The 17826-nt window shown below is 39.0% G+C and overlaps 1 protein-coding gene across 8 annotated transcripts in view; it reads right to left on the bottom strand.

Moving 5' to 3' along the window:
* KATNAL1 (katanin catalytic subunit A1 like 1) overlaps nt 1-17826 on the bottom strand; it is a 104922-nt gene that overhangs the window by 8838 nt on the left and 78258 nt on the right. For all 8 annotated transcript variants that reach the window (NM_032116.5, NM_001014380.3, XM_024449424.2 and 5 more), the window contains one exon: nt 15945-16079. In NM_032116.5, coding sequence (NP_115492.1) covers nt 15945-16079 — 135 coding nt within the window. The remainder of the gene's footprint in view (nt 1-15944; nt 16080-17826) is intronic.

Here is a 17826-nt window from a genome sequence, read left to right on the forward strand (position 1 = left end):
CACAATTCAAAGCAAAGTTTCCCTATTTGTCCCAAGCCTTTATAACTTTTACAAACCATAACACATTGCAGTCAGTTACTATGTCTCATTCACCTTCTTTCATCTAAAACAGTTCCCCAGTGTTTACTTTTTGGTTCATTTTGTTTTGTCTTTCATGAAATTGACAATTCTCCCCCAATTGATCTTATACAGCCAAAGCATTCCAATAAAGATCCTCCTAAAAGGTCTATCTGTAAAAACTAACGGGCAGATACCAAAATGTTCACAGAAATGGAAAGAACCAAGAACAGCCAAGATGCTCTGGAAGAGCAACAGCAAAGTGGAAAGAAATGCTCTATCAGATTTTAAGACTTACTACAAAGGTATAGGACTCAAAGCAGTGTGACCCTCTTGTGGAAATAGACAAATAGATCAATAGTACAGAACGGGGTGCCCAGCAGCAGACCGAAGCATAATTACAGACACTGAATTTATGACAGAGGTGGTTCAGGCCGTGAGGGGAAGGAGTGTCTTTTCAATTAATGATGTAAGAACAGCTGACTATCCACAGGGAAAAAAATGAAATCAGGTCCTACATCATACTGTGCACAAAAATCAGTGCCAGATATATTACATCTAAATGCAAAGTTGTAAGTATTTTATAACAGAGAAGAATATCTCAATGACCTCAGGGAAGTATTCTCAAGACATATATTCAAAAAAAATCAACAAGGAAAAGATTGATAAACTGACCACATTAAAATGAGGAACTTCTATTCATCAAAAGATACTGTCGACACAGTGAAAACAGATAAGTTACAGAGTTTGAGAAGATATTTGTAACATATATAAGCAACCAAAGACTTGTATCAAGAATATTTAAGGAATTTCTAAAAATCAGCAAGAAAAAGTCAGACTACCCAATAGCCAGCGTGCCTGGCAATGCACAGTGGCCGGACCCTGGTGCTTGCTTGCTCATGCACCCCTCACCACTCTGTGCCTGGCTTGCCCTTGGCCGGCGTGGGATCAGGGCCAGTAGCTCCAGCCGAGCTCAGCCTGCCAGGCCCAGTGGTCAGAACGCTGGGCTCAAGCAAAACTCCAGCAAAGGTGCCACCAAGGATCCTGCAACACAAGCACTTTGGAAAACATATTGAATTCATCTATTAATACTGCAGCTGTGCGGCACTACCTAGCAATTCACTCCTAGGATGGAATGCTCCATTCTGGCATTCTTACCACTATACATGTATGAAAATGTTCACAGTAGCACTGTTCATAATAGCCTAAAACAAGAAATAATTAAAATGTCCACCAAACAATATGATGGATACATTTTGATATAATCACATAATAGATGGTATGGGTTAAACCATGTCCCTCAAAATTTTTAGGCAACTCCTAACCCCCAGTACTTCAGAATGTGACTGTATTTAGAGACAGGAGAGGTAATTAAGGTAAAATGAGGTCATATGGGTGGGCTCTAATCCAACATGACTGGTGTCCTTATAAGAAGAAGCGGTTAGGACACAAAAACCCCTAAGGGGAAGACCACATGAAGACGCCGGGACAAGATGGCCACCTATAGGCCAAGGAGAGAGGCCCCAGAGTGCAACCACCCTGCCTACACCTTGGTCTTGTACTTCTAGCTTCCGGTACTATGAGAAAATACAAACTACCATCAGAGAATACTACAAACACCTCTACGCAAATAAACTAGAAAATCTAGAAGAAATGGATAAATTCCTCGACACATACACCCTCCCAAGACTAAACCAGGAAGAAGTTGAATCTCTGAATAGACCAATAACAGGAGCTGAAATTGTGGCAATAATCAATAGCTTACCAACCAAAAAGAGTCCAGGACCAGATGGATTCATAGCCGAATTCCACCAGAGGTACAAGGAGGAACTGGTACCATTCCTTCTGAAACTATTCCAATCAATAGAAAAAGAGGGAATCCTCCCTAACTCATTTTATGAGGCCAGCATCATCCTGATACCAAAGCCGGGCAGAGACACACCCAAAAAAGAGAATTTTAGACCAATATCCTTGATGAACATTGATGCAAAAATCCTCAATAAAATACTGGCAAACCGAATCCAGCAGCACATCTAAAAGCTTATCCACCATGATCAAATGGGCTTCAACCCTGGGATGCAAGGCTGGTTCAACATACACAAATCAATAAATGTAATCCAGCATATAAACAGAACCATAGACAAAAACCACATGATTATCTCAATAGATGCAGAAAAGGCCTTTGACAAAATTCAACAACCCTTCATGCTAAAAACTCTCAATAAATTAGGTATTGATGGGACGTATCTCAAAATAATAAGAGCTACCTATGACAAACTCACAGCCAATATCATATTGAATGGGCAAAAACTGGAAGCATTCCCTTTGAAAACGGGCACAAGACAGGGATGCCCTCTCTCACCACTCCTATTCAACATAGTGTTGGAAGTTCTGGCCAGGGCAATTAGGCAGGAGAAGGAAATAAAGGGTATTCAATTAGGAAAAGAGGAAGTCAAATTGTCCCTGTTTGCAGATGACATGACTGTATATCTAGAAAACCCCATCGTCTCAGCCCAAAATCTCCTTAAGCTGATAAGCAACTTCAGCAAAGTCTCAGGATACAAAATCAATGTACAAAAATCACAAGCATTCTTATACACCAATAACAGACAAACAGAGCCAAATCATGAGTGAACTCCCATTCACAATTGCTTCAAAGAGAATAAAATACCTAGGAATCCAACTTACAAGGGACATGAAGGACCTCTTCAAGAAGAACTACAAACCACTCCTCAATGAAATAAAAGAGGATACAAAGAAATGGAAGAACATTCCATGCTCATGGGTAGGAAGAATCAATATCGTGAAAATGGCCATACTGCCCAAGGTAATTTATAGATTTAATGCCATCCCCATCAAGCTACCAATGACTTTCTTCACAGAATTGGAAAAAACTACTTTAAAGTTCATATGGAACCAAAAAAGAGCCCACGTCGCCAAGTCAATCCTAAGCCAAAAGAACAAAGCTGGAGGCATCAAGCTACCTGACTTCAAACTATACTACAAGGCTACAGTAACCAAAACAGCATGGTACTGGTACCAGAACAGAGATATAGATCAATGGAACAGAACAGAGTCCTCAGAAATAATGCCGCATATCTACAACTATCTGATCTTTGACAAACCTCAGAAAAACAAGCAATGGGGAAAGGATTCCCTATTTAATAAATGGTGCTGGGAAAACTTGCTAGCCATATGTAGAAAGCTGAAACTGGATCCCTTCCTTACACCTTATACAAAAATTAATTCAAGATGGATTAAAGACTTAAACGTTAGACCTAAAACCATAAAAACCCTAGAAGAAAACCTAGGCATTACCATTCAGGACATAGGCATGGGCAAGGACTTCACGTCTAAAACACCAAAAGCAATGGCAACAAAAGACAAAATTGACAAATGGGATCTAATTAAACTAAAGAGCTTCTGCACAGCAAAAGAAACTACCATCAGAGAAAAGAGGCAACCTACAAAATGGGAGAAAATTTTCACAACCTACTCATCTGACAAAGGGCTAATATCCAGAATCTACAATGAACTCAAACAAATTTACAAGAAAAAAACAAACAACCCCATCAAAAAGTGGGCGAAGGACATGAACAGACACTTCTCAAAAGAAGACATTTATGCAGCCAAAAAACACATGAAAAAAATGCTCATCATCACTGGCCATCAGAGAAATGCAAATCAAAACCACAATGAGATACCATCTCACACCAGTTAGAATGGCAATCATTAAAAAGTCAGGAAACAACAGGTGCTGGAGAGGATGTGGAGAAATAGGAACACTTTTACACTGTTGATGGGACCGTAAACTAGTTCAACCATTGTGGAAGTCAGTGTGGTGATTCCTCAGGGATATACAACTACAAATACCATTTGACCCAGCCATCCCATTAGTGGGTATATACCCAAAGGACTATAAATCATGCTGCTATAAAGACACATGCACACGTATGTTTATTGTGGCATTATTCACAATAGCAAAGACTTGGAACCAACCCAAATGTCCAACAATGATAATGTGGATAAAGAAAATGTGGCACATATACACCATGGAATACTATGCAGCCATAAAAAATGATGAGTTCATGTCCTTTGTAGGGACATGGATGAAACTAGAAATCATCATTCTCAGTAAACTATCACAAGAACAAAAAACCAAACACCGCATGTTCTCACTCATAGGTGGGAATTGAACAATGAGAACACATGGACACAGGAAGGGGAACATCACACTCTGGGGACTGTTGTGGGGTGGGGGGAGTGGGGAGGGATAGCATTAGAAGATACACCTAATGCTAAATGACGAGTTAATGGGTGCAGCACACCAGCATGGCACATGTATACATATGTAACTAACCTGCCCATTGTGCACATGTACCCTAAAACTTAAAGTATAATAATAATAAAATTTTAAAAAAAAGAAAATTAACTTCTGTTGTTTAAGCCACCCAATCTTTGATATTTGTTATGGTAGCCCTAGCAAACGAATATGACAGAATACCACACAGTAACAAAAATGAATGTGAGGTGGCAGCCTTATATGTGGTATATATATGTGGTAACATGGATAAATCTTAAAATACATTGAGCAAAAGAGGCAAGATACAAATGAACACAATCAGTATGATTTCATTTATGTAAAGTTTAAAAGGAGGTAAAACTTTGCTTGGGGATACATTGTTAGGTGATGAAATTATATGGAAAAGCAATACATTATCTCCATAAAAGGAAATCACTGTAAGGGAAAGGTGGTGACCCCCAGCAGAGGGCAGGAAGGAACCATGCTGGGAGGGAACACGCTGGGAGCTGCTGAGTTCCAGGGAGGCTCCACTTCTCCTGGAGCGGGTAACAGGGCTGTCTGCTTCACCAGCTACTGGATAAACTAAACATTTTAGGAACTGTTTCTGTATTGAGTTATGTTTCACACACCACAAACACACAGTGAGACCAAGCAGAGCAGTGCCAAAAGCAGCAAGCAGGTGTGATTTGGGATTACCAGAAAACAGAAAGGGCAGGACTGGAAAACGTCTACCTCCACAGTTCCCTAATCCCAGGAGCCCCCATCCTTGATCCCAGCCAACAGGCTCGCAGGGAGTACACCTGCTCGACATGTGGTTTAGAGCCAAAGAAGTCCTCCAGTCAGGCTGGTGGCAGGAGGGGTAGGGAGAGAAAGGGGTGAGGGGAGGAAGCTCCTGTGCCTACCGATACAGAAGGCTGATGTGCGCCTGATGTCCAGGTAAGAACTGATGTTAACATAAGAGCATCATTACACAATGTTCCACATAGAGCCAGTGAATGACAATGAACAAATACCCCTTTTCATTCTTACAGACCCAATATTAGAATACCACTGTATGTGTAAATCAAACGTTTCACTGTGCCTGGCCTAAGTTCCTTAACACAAAGTTTAATATATTCTCCCACTGAAACAAAGTTCCAGACAGCCAACTTAAAATGAACATACATAAACCTGTTCGTAAGTGAGGACCTAGTGGTACTGAAGCTTAGCAGAAAGCATATTCTGTTTCCCTAGTAACTATGATTGGTGGCGGGGGGGTGGGGAACAAGTAACTTAAAACTGGTTATGTCAGTAATTTTTTAGAATATTCTTAAGATTTACCAGCTCCATAAAACTGAGTTGATGGCCAGGCGCGGCGGCTCACGCCTGTAATCCCAGCACTTTGGGAGGCCGAGGCGGGAGGATCATGAGGTCAGGAGATCGAGACCATCCCGGCTAACACGGTGAAACCCTGTGTCTACTAAAAATACAAAAAAAATTAGCCAGGCGTGGTGGCGGACAACTGTAATCCCAGCTACTCGGGAGGGGGAGGCAGGAGAATGGCGTGAACTCAGGGGGCGGAGCTTGCAGTGAGCTGAGATCGCGCCACTGCACTCCAGCCTGGGCAACAGAGCAAGACTCCATCTCAAACAAAAACTGAATTGATATTCAATAAGCTTGTGAAAAGATTTAACAAGGGATTAATGTGTTGTTAATCATAGTGTAACAAACTGCCAATCCTGTATCACAAAATTAACACACATTCTAAATTTAAATAAATGTTGTTAGAGGAATCATACACTCCTTATACAACTCCTCTTGAATATACCAGGCAGTCCAGTACAGGAGACAACAACTACATTCTGGGCCTGCCTATCTGGGCTCTGGACTCACATGCCTGCTCTCACTTAGCCTCTGGGTCCTCAAGTTTCCTAAGTAAAATAAGAACAGAATCTACCTTATAAAGCTGTCATGACGGTTAGGTGAGTTGATGCATGCAAAGCCTGGCCCATGGTAAATACTCAATAAATGTTCACAGCCCCCACCACCAGTCAGTCAACAAACAGGACTCTGGGGAGACAGAAGTGTCCTTTTCCTGAGGGACATCTGGGAAATCACCAACCCAGATGAAACACCTGGGGACACGAGACAGGCCAGGGCGAGAAGACTGCGTGATGTCCACATGCTGTAACGTCGGCTTTGAAAAATCAGTAAAATTTAAAGAGAAGGGAAGAGAGAACCTGGGAAATGGGAGTACCACAGATAACAACACAGAAGTAGGAAGAAGCATGCGTGCAGCAGAATGGGGGAAAAAGGTAAGTAGAAAAATACAATAAAATACTGATAGATGCAAATAGACACAGATAGGATACATAAGATGTGAACTTGCAGTAAAAGGAATATATATATATATATATATATAAAGGACCTGACCCTGATGTAATAGGAAGTCAGAGTCACCCCGAGTTGAAAGGACTATAATACCTTGGTGTTTAGGAGGTCAGCCTAAAAGCAAAACAGAACTAAATGAAGAGAGGTTGAGAAAGGAGTACATTGGGCTCAACAGGTAGTTGCTGCCATAATTTAGATGCTTAAAATGAAAAGAGCCTTAAGGTAAGAACATTAGAACTCACTTGTGCCTATTATTTTGCCTTCTGTTGACTACAGCAAATTGTATTTACCAAGACAGCAGTAACAGTTCTCTCTCATCCCACACCCATTTCTACAATGTGATCCTACCACTCCCCAAACCAGAGGCAGTCTAATTCCCCTCCCCTTGAATTGGTGTGGGCCTGAGAATGTCAGAAGTATGAGCAGAAGGGACATTACATAACCTCCAAGGGTAATTCATAAAATTCGATGCCATTTCCACCTTATCCAGTGGAACAATCACATTTGGAGCACTAAGCTACCATCTATGAGATCCAAATATCCCAAGGCCACAGGTAACATGGCCCAGCAGAGATCTAGGCTTGTGAATGAAGACATTCCACAGGATCCCAGGCCCCAGCTGTGGAGTCACCCCCAACCACGACCCAAGGCATCATGGAACAGACACAAACCATCTCCACTGTGCCCCATCCAATGTGAGAATAATACAATTATTTTGTCTCATTAAATTTTGGAGTGGTTTGTTAAACTGCAAGAGTAAGTGATATATTGGCTTTTCTTACCACCAATTTCTAATTCTTAAATAAATATGGGTATTTCTTTATGGAAATTATATAAAGAGGCATTACATCTAATTACATTAGATGGCTTTCTGATTTCATCTATCCTGTTTCTTATAATCTTTGCCTTTTTCAAATAAAAATTCTTATTCACAGTTGGTTTTGTTCATAAAATGTCCAATTTTTTTAAATTTTAATACATTTTACTTTTATTTCCATTAATTTTACCCTGGATTTCCAAAATCATTCTTTTCAGATCTCTCATCTTCTTAAATTTTATTTATTGTTCAATCTCTTCCAGGCCTTTTTATCCTATCTGGTGGCTCCAGCCCCAAAACCTATCTATCTATTCATTTTCAAGCACCCATGGCTTCGATTCTACTTTTCTCTATGAAAATTCAGTTAAAATGCAACTTCCTCCATGAAGTCTCCCTTAAGTACACCAGTCAGAATTTGGGATTCCTCCCTGTCCGTTCCAAAAATACTGTGCAGAGCTCTCGGCTCATGCATTCCACTGTTTTACTGCAGTTAGGGTAAGTATATGTCTGGCTTCCAAAGCAGTTCTTTAACAACAAGGAATGAACATTATTTATATTCCCACAGTTCCTAACAAATGTCTTTCATATAGCAAAGAGCTAAATGAACACTTGTTGATGAATTAATATAGATAAAAGAAAAAGAATGGAGTTCTAATTATAATTATTGGTTTGGGAGCCCCTTGGGGAAAAAGCATTTCCCAGGTTTCATGATCATAAGGTACACACCTTCAGATCCACAATAAACAAAGAGAAGCACCCCAAAGTAATTACTGTTACAAACTTTTCATAAAGAAAAACAAGTTTAGAAGGAAGCCTCTTAGCCGTGTTTATTTTCTTCTTCTATAATTCCAAAGGAAATGGAGTTCCTACCTTTATACCAATATAAAGTATGTCTTTCCCCTAATACCTAAGCTTTCCTTAGCAGTTCAGAAACTTGCTGTCATCAATTATTTTCTACTTATGTTTTTCTCCCTTTATTATAGTGAAGAATTAAAGTTCAAAAAACAAAAGTTTGAATAATGTGACTGACAGTTCGAGCAGCAAAAATTTTATTCCCTCCACTGGTATCAATTTTTATTTATAATCACTGTAATATGGTAGTAAAATTAAACTTTCAAATATATTAGATATCATACACATATTTTGTTTAGAAAACAAAACATGGGCTGGGCACAGTGGCTTATGCTTGTAATCCCAACACTTTGGGAGGTGGATGCAGGTGGATCACTTGAGGTCAGGAGTTGGAGACCAGCCTGGCCAACATGGTGAAACCCCGTCTCTACTAAAAATACCAAAGTTAGCTGGGTGTGGGGTCGTGTGCCTGTAATCCTGGCTACTTGGGAGGCTGAGGCAGGAGAATTGCTTGAATGCGGGAGGTGGAGATTGCAGTGAGCCGAAACCACGCCACTGCACCCCAACCTGGGCAACAGAGCAAGACTCCATCTCAAAAAAACAAACAAACAAAAACATGGATGAAGAGAAAAAGAATGGGAAGAAACTTTTAAAATCACAAATAAGGAAAAAAACGCTCGAATTTCAACTTGTGTATGAGCCAGGTATTAAGGAGTTAATTCTCAGAGTTGCAATATTCCAGCATGGCTTATAGGTTCTAAATCTAATTGCTTCTGTTGTTGCTTTAAATAAGCGTATTATTTTATGAGCTCAATCAGTAAATTCTTTTTCTTGTTTTTTGTTTTTTTTTGAGATGGAGTCTCACTCTGTCACCCAGGCTGGAGTGCTGTGGTGTGATCTCGGCTGACTGCAACCTCCACCTCGTGGGTTCAAGTTGATTCTCCTGCCTCAGCCGCCTGAGTAGCTGGAATTACAGGCACCTGCTACCACGTCTGGCTAACTTTTGTATGTTTAATAGAGACAGGGTTTCTCATATCGGTCAGGCTGGTCTCAAACTCCTGACCTCAGGTGATCTGCCCACATTGGCCTCCCAGAGTGCTGGGATTACAGGCGTGAGCAACAACACCCAGCGAAATAAAGCACTATTTTAAGAAAAAGAAAAGTTTTCTTTTTAAGTAATGACATTATTAAATTATTAGAATACAGAGTAACAGCCAGAAAAGATAATATAAGATGGAATCTGTGAGCTAAAAAATCTATCAAGTAATTATGTTATACAAGCCTTGGGGTCTAGTCAAAAAAGTGATCAAGGAATATGTTACAAAAATTAAGTTTCAAAATTTGTAGGTGAGGTTTCCACTTCTAGCCATGATGAAATAACTGTTACCAAACTTGCCCCCTATGGTAAACAACTACAAAATGAGACAGAATATAAAGAAAACTGTTTGCATGTATTGGCCAACAGGCAGTGAAGAACTGAATACTGATTTTTCTTAGTTCTGCCAGTAATCTGAATGCCTGCCAGATCACTATTTAAAGGAAAATACATAATCTGTAATCCCTACAATGTAGCACATACAGTAAAATTATTGGATATGTGAAGAAGCAGAAAAATATGGCCCACACTGAAGAGAATTAAAAAGTAGCTAACAAAAACAAATGATTCAATTGCTAAAATTAGCTGACAAAAACTATAAAGTGGTAGATTATCCATTTCTGAATAAAAAATTTTACTAAAACTTACAGACTTTACATAACTATTTATTATCCTCAAAGTTTCTGTGTGCCAAGAATTTAAGAGTGGCGTAGCTAGAAAGTTCCAGCTTGGGGTCTGTGATGGTTAATTTTATACGTCAACTTGGCTGGGCAATGGTGCCCAAACAGTGGATAAAAAATTATTCTGGGACTGGCACAGTGGCTCATGTTTGTAATCCCAGCACTTTGAGAGGTGGAGGCTGGTGGATCACTTGAGGTCAGCAGTTCAAGACCAGCCTGACCAACATGAGGAAACCCTGTCTCTATTAAAAGTATAAAATTAGCCAGGTGCAGTGGCACACACCTGTAATCCCAGCTACTTGGGAGCCTGAGGCAGGAGAATCCCTTGAACCCAGGAGGCGGAGGTTGCAGTGAGGTAAGATTGCGCCATTGCCCTCCAGCCCGGGCAACAAGAGTGAAACTCCATCTCAGAAAGAAAAAAGAAAAAGAAAAATTATTCTGAATGTGTCTGTGAACATGTTTTTCAATGAGATTAACATTTAAATTGGTGGACTTTGAGTAAAGCAGATTGCCCTTCCTAATGTGGGTGGGCCTCATCTAACCAATGGAAGGTCTGAATAAAACACAACACTGAACCGCGACACTGCCCCCACCGCCCACACTGGGAAGAAGAAATTCAGCAAATGGCCTTCAGATTTCAACTGCAACACTGGCTCTCCCTGGGTCTCCAGCCTGATAGCCTTTGGACCTGAACTGCAGTATCAGCTCTTCCTGGGCCTCTAACCTGCCAGCTCAGTGTACAGATTTTGGACTTACCAGCCCCCATAATCGTGTGAGCCAACTGCCTAAAATAAACCTCTTTATATATACACATCCTGTTGGTTCTGTTTCTCTGCAGGACTCTGACTAATACAAGGTCTCGCAGGAAGTCACAGTTAATACATGGACCAGAACTACAGTCATCCAAGGGTAGCTCTCACATGGCTGGCACGATGCATACTGTAATTGCTAGAGCAACTGCTAAAATAAATATAGTCAGGTATAGCTAAAAATCCAATAATGGCATTAAAATGAATAGTAAAAACAGTCAATTAGCCCAAAAGAAATTAGCAAGGGGGGTACAGAGAAACAAACAGTACAAATAGCAAGATGGCAGACTTAAACACAGTCATATCACCAATTACATTAAATTTAAATGGACTAAATACTCCTATTAAAAAGCAGAGACAGCCAGGTGCAGTGGCTCATGCCCGTAATCTCAGCACTTTGGGAGGCCAAGGTGGGTGAATCACCTGAGCTCAGGAGTTCAAGACCAGCCTGGACAACATGGCGAAACCCCGTCTCTACTAATAATATAAAAAAATTAGCCAGGCATAGTGGCACATGCCTGTAGTCCCAGCTACTCAGGAGGCTGAGGCAGCAGAATCACTTGAACCTGGGAGGCAGAGGTTGCAGTAAGCCCAGATCGCGCCACTGCACTCCCGCCTGGGCAACAGAGTGAGGCTCCGACTTAAACAAACAAACAAAAAAGAGATACAGACTGGACAAATAGCAAGGCTCAACTATATGCTGTCTATAAAAACTGCACTGTACACACCTGTAATCCCAGCACTTCGGGAGGCCAAGGCGGGCGGATCACAAGGTCAGGAGATCGAGACCATCCTGGCTAACACGGTGAAACTCCGTCTCTACTACTAAAAATACAAAAAATTAGCCGGGAATGGTGGCAGGCGCCTGTGGTCCCAGCTACTCGGGAGGCTGAGGCAGGAGAATGGTGTGAACCTGGGAGGCAGAGCTTGCAGTGAGCCCAGATCCTGCCACTGCACTCCAGCCAGGGTGACAGAGCGAGACTCCATCTCAAAAAAAAAAAAAAAAAAAAAAAAAACTGCACCGTAAATATAAAGACAGGGTAGGGTAAAAATTAAAGATAAAAAGCAGATATAGCACAACAACAATAGGAAAAGAAAGACGGTAAGGCTAAATTAAAAGCAGTCAAAGCAGATACCAAGTCAAAGTGTATTCTCAGAGATACAGAGGCATTGCATAATGGTAATAGGACCGAGAAGATGTAACAATGATAATTTATTTACTTAACAACAGAACATCAAAACACATGAAGCAAAACATAAAGCAGAAACTGAAAAAACGAAAGGGAGAAATGAACAAGTTCCCAGTCATAGATGAAGATTTCCATAAGCCACTCTCAGTAACTGACAGAAAAACTAGACTAAAAAATCAGCAAGGATCTTATTATTTGAATAATACTAACACACCAACTTCATCTAGCTGACATTTATAGAATGTTATAACAAGCTCAGAATAAACATTCTATTCAATTGCATCTGGAGCATTCACCAAGACAGACTATATGCTGAATCACAAATCTCAAGAAGTTCAAAAATTGACATCTTACAGAGTATGTTCCTAACTGCAATGAATTAAAGTAAAAATCAACAATAAGATATCTAGAAAACACCCCAATTATTTGGCTCCCAAACCAATTTAAATGCTAAATAACTAAAGGACCAAAGAAAGGGGATAAAAAAGGAAAATTAGAAAACAGTTCTAACTTAATAGTAGAAAAAATATGATATAGCAAAATTTGTGAGATAAAAGCAAAGCAGTACTTAATGAGAAATTTATAGCTTTAAAATGTGCAAATTTAAAAAAGAAAAAAAGGCCAGGTGCAGTAGCTCACATCTGTAATCCCAGTGCTACTGGGAGGATTGCTTGAGGCCAGGAGTTTGAGACCAGCCTGGGAAACACGGCAAGCCTCTGTCTCTACAAAAAATAAAAATAAAAAAATTAGCCAGGCACAGTGACATGTGTTTGTAGTCCCTACTCAAGAGGCTGAGGTGGGAGGATCTGTTGATCCCAAAAGTTTGAGGCTGCAGTGAGCTAAGATCATGCCACTGAACTCCAGCCTGGGTAACAGAGCAAGACTCTGTCTCTTAAAAAAAAAAAAAAGTGGGGAAGGGTGGTTCCTAAAACCAATAACCTTAGTTTCTAACTTCAGATAGAAAAAATTATACTCAAAGTGTAAAGCAAAAAAAAAATTTTTTTAACAGAGAAGAAATCATTGAAATAGAAAGTAGAAAATTAACAAAGCAAAAATTTGGTTATTTGAAAAGATTAACAATATTGATAAATTTCAACCAAAAATGATGAAGAATAGAGATAAATTACTAATATTAGGAATGAAAAATGAGCCATCACTACAGATCCTATGGCCAATAAAAGGAAAATAAGGTGTGTAGATTTGTATTATGCCAACTTAAGTGAAGCTGGAATTTCATTTCCCAGAATTCTCTTTATTGCATAGCTCTGGGTTAGTGTGGACCACATGAGTCATGTCTGAGATGTGAAAGGCAAAAATTAATCATCTCAGAAAGCTGGCACATACTGTCACTTATTTCTTGGTTCTCCTTATTAGTGTGGGGCAGCACTTCCACCTTCAGCTCTTGGTAGTTTCTGCCACATTTCTTCCTTCACCTTTTTTGACTTTTGAGCCAGGTATACATTTAGCTAGCTTCTTCTGTAGGAAAGTCCATTCATCAAGGTTAGGAGTCTCAGTGGAAAAAAAGAGTTCAACATAGATTCCAATGTATCCTCATGGATTCCACCCCCACAGGTAGAGTTTGTCCTTACTTCTACCACTTCACATTCATCATCTCTTCCTAAGTGCCCTCCTTACTGACTTCAAGTTCCAGAACCAGACATGAACTATATAATCAGCTTCCACAATCTCCCATAACTATTTAATCAGCTTCCACATTCACATTAGGTCAAATCCAAACAAATCTGACAACTTATAAAAAAAATAGACAAATTATTTGAAAGGCACAAGTTACCAAAGCTTGCTCAAGAAAAAAACAAATAACTTAGATAACCATATGTGTGTGTATTTAAAATACAATGGAACAGAATAGTATTCAGAAATAGACCCACACATACACAACAAAATAATTTTCAATGAAGGTGCCGAAGTAATTCAATGAAAAAAGAAAACTCCTTTCAGTAAGTGATGATACAACTGCATATACATATGAAAAAAATGACTCATCTACACACACACACACACACACACACACACACACACACACAAATTCATTCAAGAGGAATCACAGATATAAATACAGTTTCCAAAAGAAAACAGGAGAAAAACTTTGCAGCTTTGGGATAGACAAGATTTCTTAAGACACAAAAAGTACTATTCATTAAAAAAAATTGTCAACAGGACTTCATCAAAATTTAAAATGTCTGCTTATTAAGAGATACCATAAAGAAAATCAAAAGGCAAACTACAAACTGGAAGAAAATATGCACAATGCACAGATCTAATAACATAAAAAGCATTAATAAAACAACAAATAATCCAATTAAAAACTGGGAAAAAGAAATGACACTATACAAAAAGTATACCATGACCATAAAAAGCACATAAAAAGGTACTCAACGTAAGTCATCAGAGAAATACCAATTAAAATCATGAGACAGCATTTCATACTTACTAGAATGACTGAAATTAAAATAGTGACAACACCACATGTTGGCAAGGATATGGAAGTATTTGAATTCTCATTTATTGATGATGGAATACAAAATGGTATGACCATTCTGAAAAACAGTTTGGGTATTTCCTATAAAAGCTAAACATATGCCTACCCTATGACCCATCTTTTCTTTTCTTATATTATCCAAAAGAATTGAAAACATTCATCCATAAAAAAGATACGTACCAGAAAGTTTACAGCTTTATTCATAATAGCCAAAAAACTAGGAATAACTTAAATACCAATCAAAAGGAGAATAAACAAATTGTGGTATAATCATACCAGGAATAAGCTGCTGATACATGTGATCACATGGATGAACCTCAAGTGAAAGTAGCCAGACACAGTGAGTACATGCAGTCACGATTCCATTTATATGAAGTTTAACAAGAGAAAGAACTAATCTATGGTGATAAAAATCACGTACAGTGAATGCCTATTGGAGGATTAGCTGGTAGGGGCACACAGAACTTTACAGGATGATAGAAATGCCCTACATCTTGATTAGGGTATTGATTAAACAGGTGTACAGATTTGTACTCATCAAATTATATACTTAAGTACATTTCATTGTATGTAAATTTTACCTCAAAATAAAAAGAAAACATTCATTCATGGATATTTCAGCATTTATTAACAGGATGAAACTATATTTTCCAGGCTGGGCGTGGTGGTTCACACCGGTAATCCCAGCACTTTATGAGGCCGAGGCGGGAAATCACTTGAAGCCAGGAGTTCAAGACCAGCCTAGACAACATGGCAAAACCCTGTCTCTACTAAAAACACCAAAATTAGCTGGGTGTGGTGGTACACACCTGTAATCCCAGCTATTTGGAAGGCTAAGGCACAAGAATCACTTGAACTTAGGAGGTGGAGGTTGCAGTGACCTGAGATCATGCCTCTGCACTCCAGCCTGGGCAACAGAATAAGACTGTGTCACAAAATAAATAAATAAATATGTGTACACACACACACACACTCTCTCTCTCTCCAAAACAGCATATTCTGAAAAAGATCCAAAAAAACTTCAAGTTGAAAAGTGAAAACTTAAAAGTGCTACCATATTTATTAAGATGAATATTGTTCCAAACTTAAGAATTTCTCTGAAACATAAGAAATTTCAATAGAGTACTGTGGCCTGTGTTCACATCTACTACAAATTAATTTTGTGATGCTATAAACTTCTTTAAGCAGAATGGCAATGGAATAAAGATTTAGATACATGGGAAAGGTAACAAAAAGTAACAGAAAGCTCAAAATAGAGAAGACATCATACCTGTTGGGAGAGGTATATATATCCTTTTTTCTAACCTTCTTCGCAAAGCTTCATCAATGTCCCACGGGAAATTAGTAGCAGCCAATACCATAACCATTTTGGAAGGATCATCATTTTCTAAAGCTCCTCCAACTCCTATACACAGTAAGGGAGGAAAAGATAGTGTTTTTCTTACAACTCTTTATTCTTTCATTCAATTAACATTTCTTTTAGCCAAAGTGGCAGAATCAACGATAAAGAAAGTGCAGTCCTGACCTCTGTGTGGTGGCAAAACCAGACACACTAACAGATAACTACAAAACAAAGAAGTAGAAGAATTCACATAACCTAGTGTGGGATTTTTTTTTTCTTTCTTTTTTTTTTCTTGTGCAACCTAGTGCAGGATTTTAATCCAATAAAAACATCCATTTTTCTGTAAGAAAATGAATGTATTTTCCTCCTAAAAGAAAAGGTATGGGAGATTAGGCTCTGTTTTATTCCTCTTATTTCTTTTAAATCATAAAGTTCCGCAAAAATTTTATTTTAGTTTTTAATCTATTTTCTCAAGAAGTGAAAACAGAGGGTTCACATTTACTTAATATTCTAGCATGCAATTATAATTTTGAAAGACAGGTTATATTTCCATGATGTTGTCCTTTAAACTTTTAAGTGACCTGTAAAAAATAAATAAGACATTTAAGAATGAACCCAGTAATCACAGATAAAAATAACCAAACCAACTACATGTATATACACAGTGTCTCCTTTTCAGAATTAAAATTTTAGAATAAAAAATTTCAGGTCACACAACAGAAACTTTAGAAAATATGTAGTGAGAAATAAAAGATAAAAAAACCCCATAAACTTTATTGATAAGACTTTCTAGTCTAGCATAATAAAGTGCTAGTGGACTTAAAGCAACCTAGTTCAATACAGTATTTTTTAAAAAAACAAGGTCTGGTTCTGTTGTTCAGGCTGGAGTGCTCTGGCATGATCTCAGCTCACTGAAACATATAATATTTTCTTATTATGAAACTCCTACTTCGGTCATTATGACAAAGAATCAAGCTGTCCAACTAATAATCAACAATAGTCACAAATATCCCTCAATGAAATTCAGCTGACTAAATTTGTATTCAGTGATTTCCTTTTCCAATTTTAAACACCTAATGTTTTCTCCTATACCCCACTTCAAAAATAAAACATACTCATTCCTTTCTCTCATACTTTAGCAAAAGTTAACATGGTAAACTCACTGAGGGAAGGGTCTCATAGTACATTGTAAGTATTCAGTAAGTATCCACAGTTGATGAATAACCGTGACTGTTTTGAAACAACACAACTTGGATATTGTTGGTGTTTTGTTGTTGTTGTTGTTATGAGACAGGTTCTTGCCCTGTTGCCCAGGCTGGAGTGCCATGGCACAATTACAGCTCGCTGTGGCCTCAAACTCCTGCGCTCAAGCTATCCTCCCACCTCAGCCTCCTGAGTAGCTGGGACTACAGGCACATGCCACCACATCCAGCTACTTTTTAAAGTTTTTGCTACGTTAAAGTCTTGCTATGTTAACCAGGCTGGTTTTGAACTCCTGGCCTCAAGTGATCCTCCTACCTCAGCCTCCCAAAGTGCTGGGACTACAGGCATGAGCCATTGCACTCAGTCCCTCACCCTGGATATTTTTTAATGTATTTTATCTGTTCTAATGTTTTGCTTGAACGGCCTCTTGTCTACCACACAGCTAACTTATCTCTAAACAGCAGCTCTGAGCCCATAACCCTTTTCCTTCTATGGCTCCTCAGGGCCCTTTTTCTCTGTCCTGATAACTCCTATCAATGCTTCAAAGTCCAACTTGGCTATCTCTTTCCATGACTCCCCTGGTCTTGGTGGTGCCTCTCCTGTGTTT

Source organism: Homo sapiens, chromosome 13 (assembly GCF_000001405.40).
Source record: "Homo sapiens chromosome 13, GRCh38.p14 Primary Assembly".
Taxonomy (NCBI): domain Eukaryota; kingdom Metazoa; phylum Chordata; class Mammalia; order Primates; family Hominidae; genus Homo; species Homo sapiens.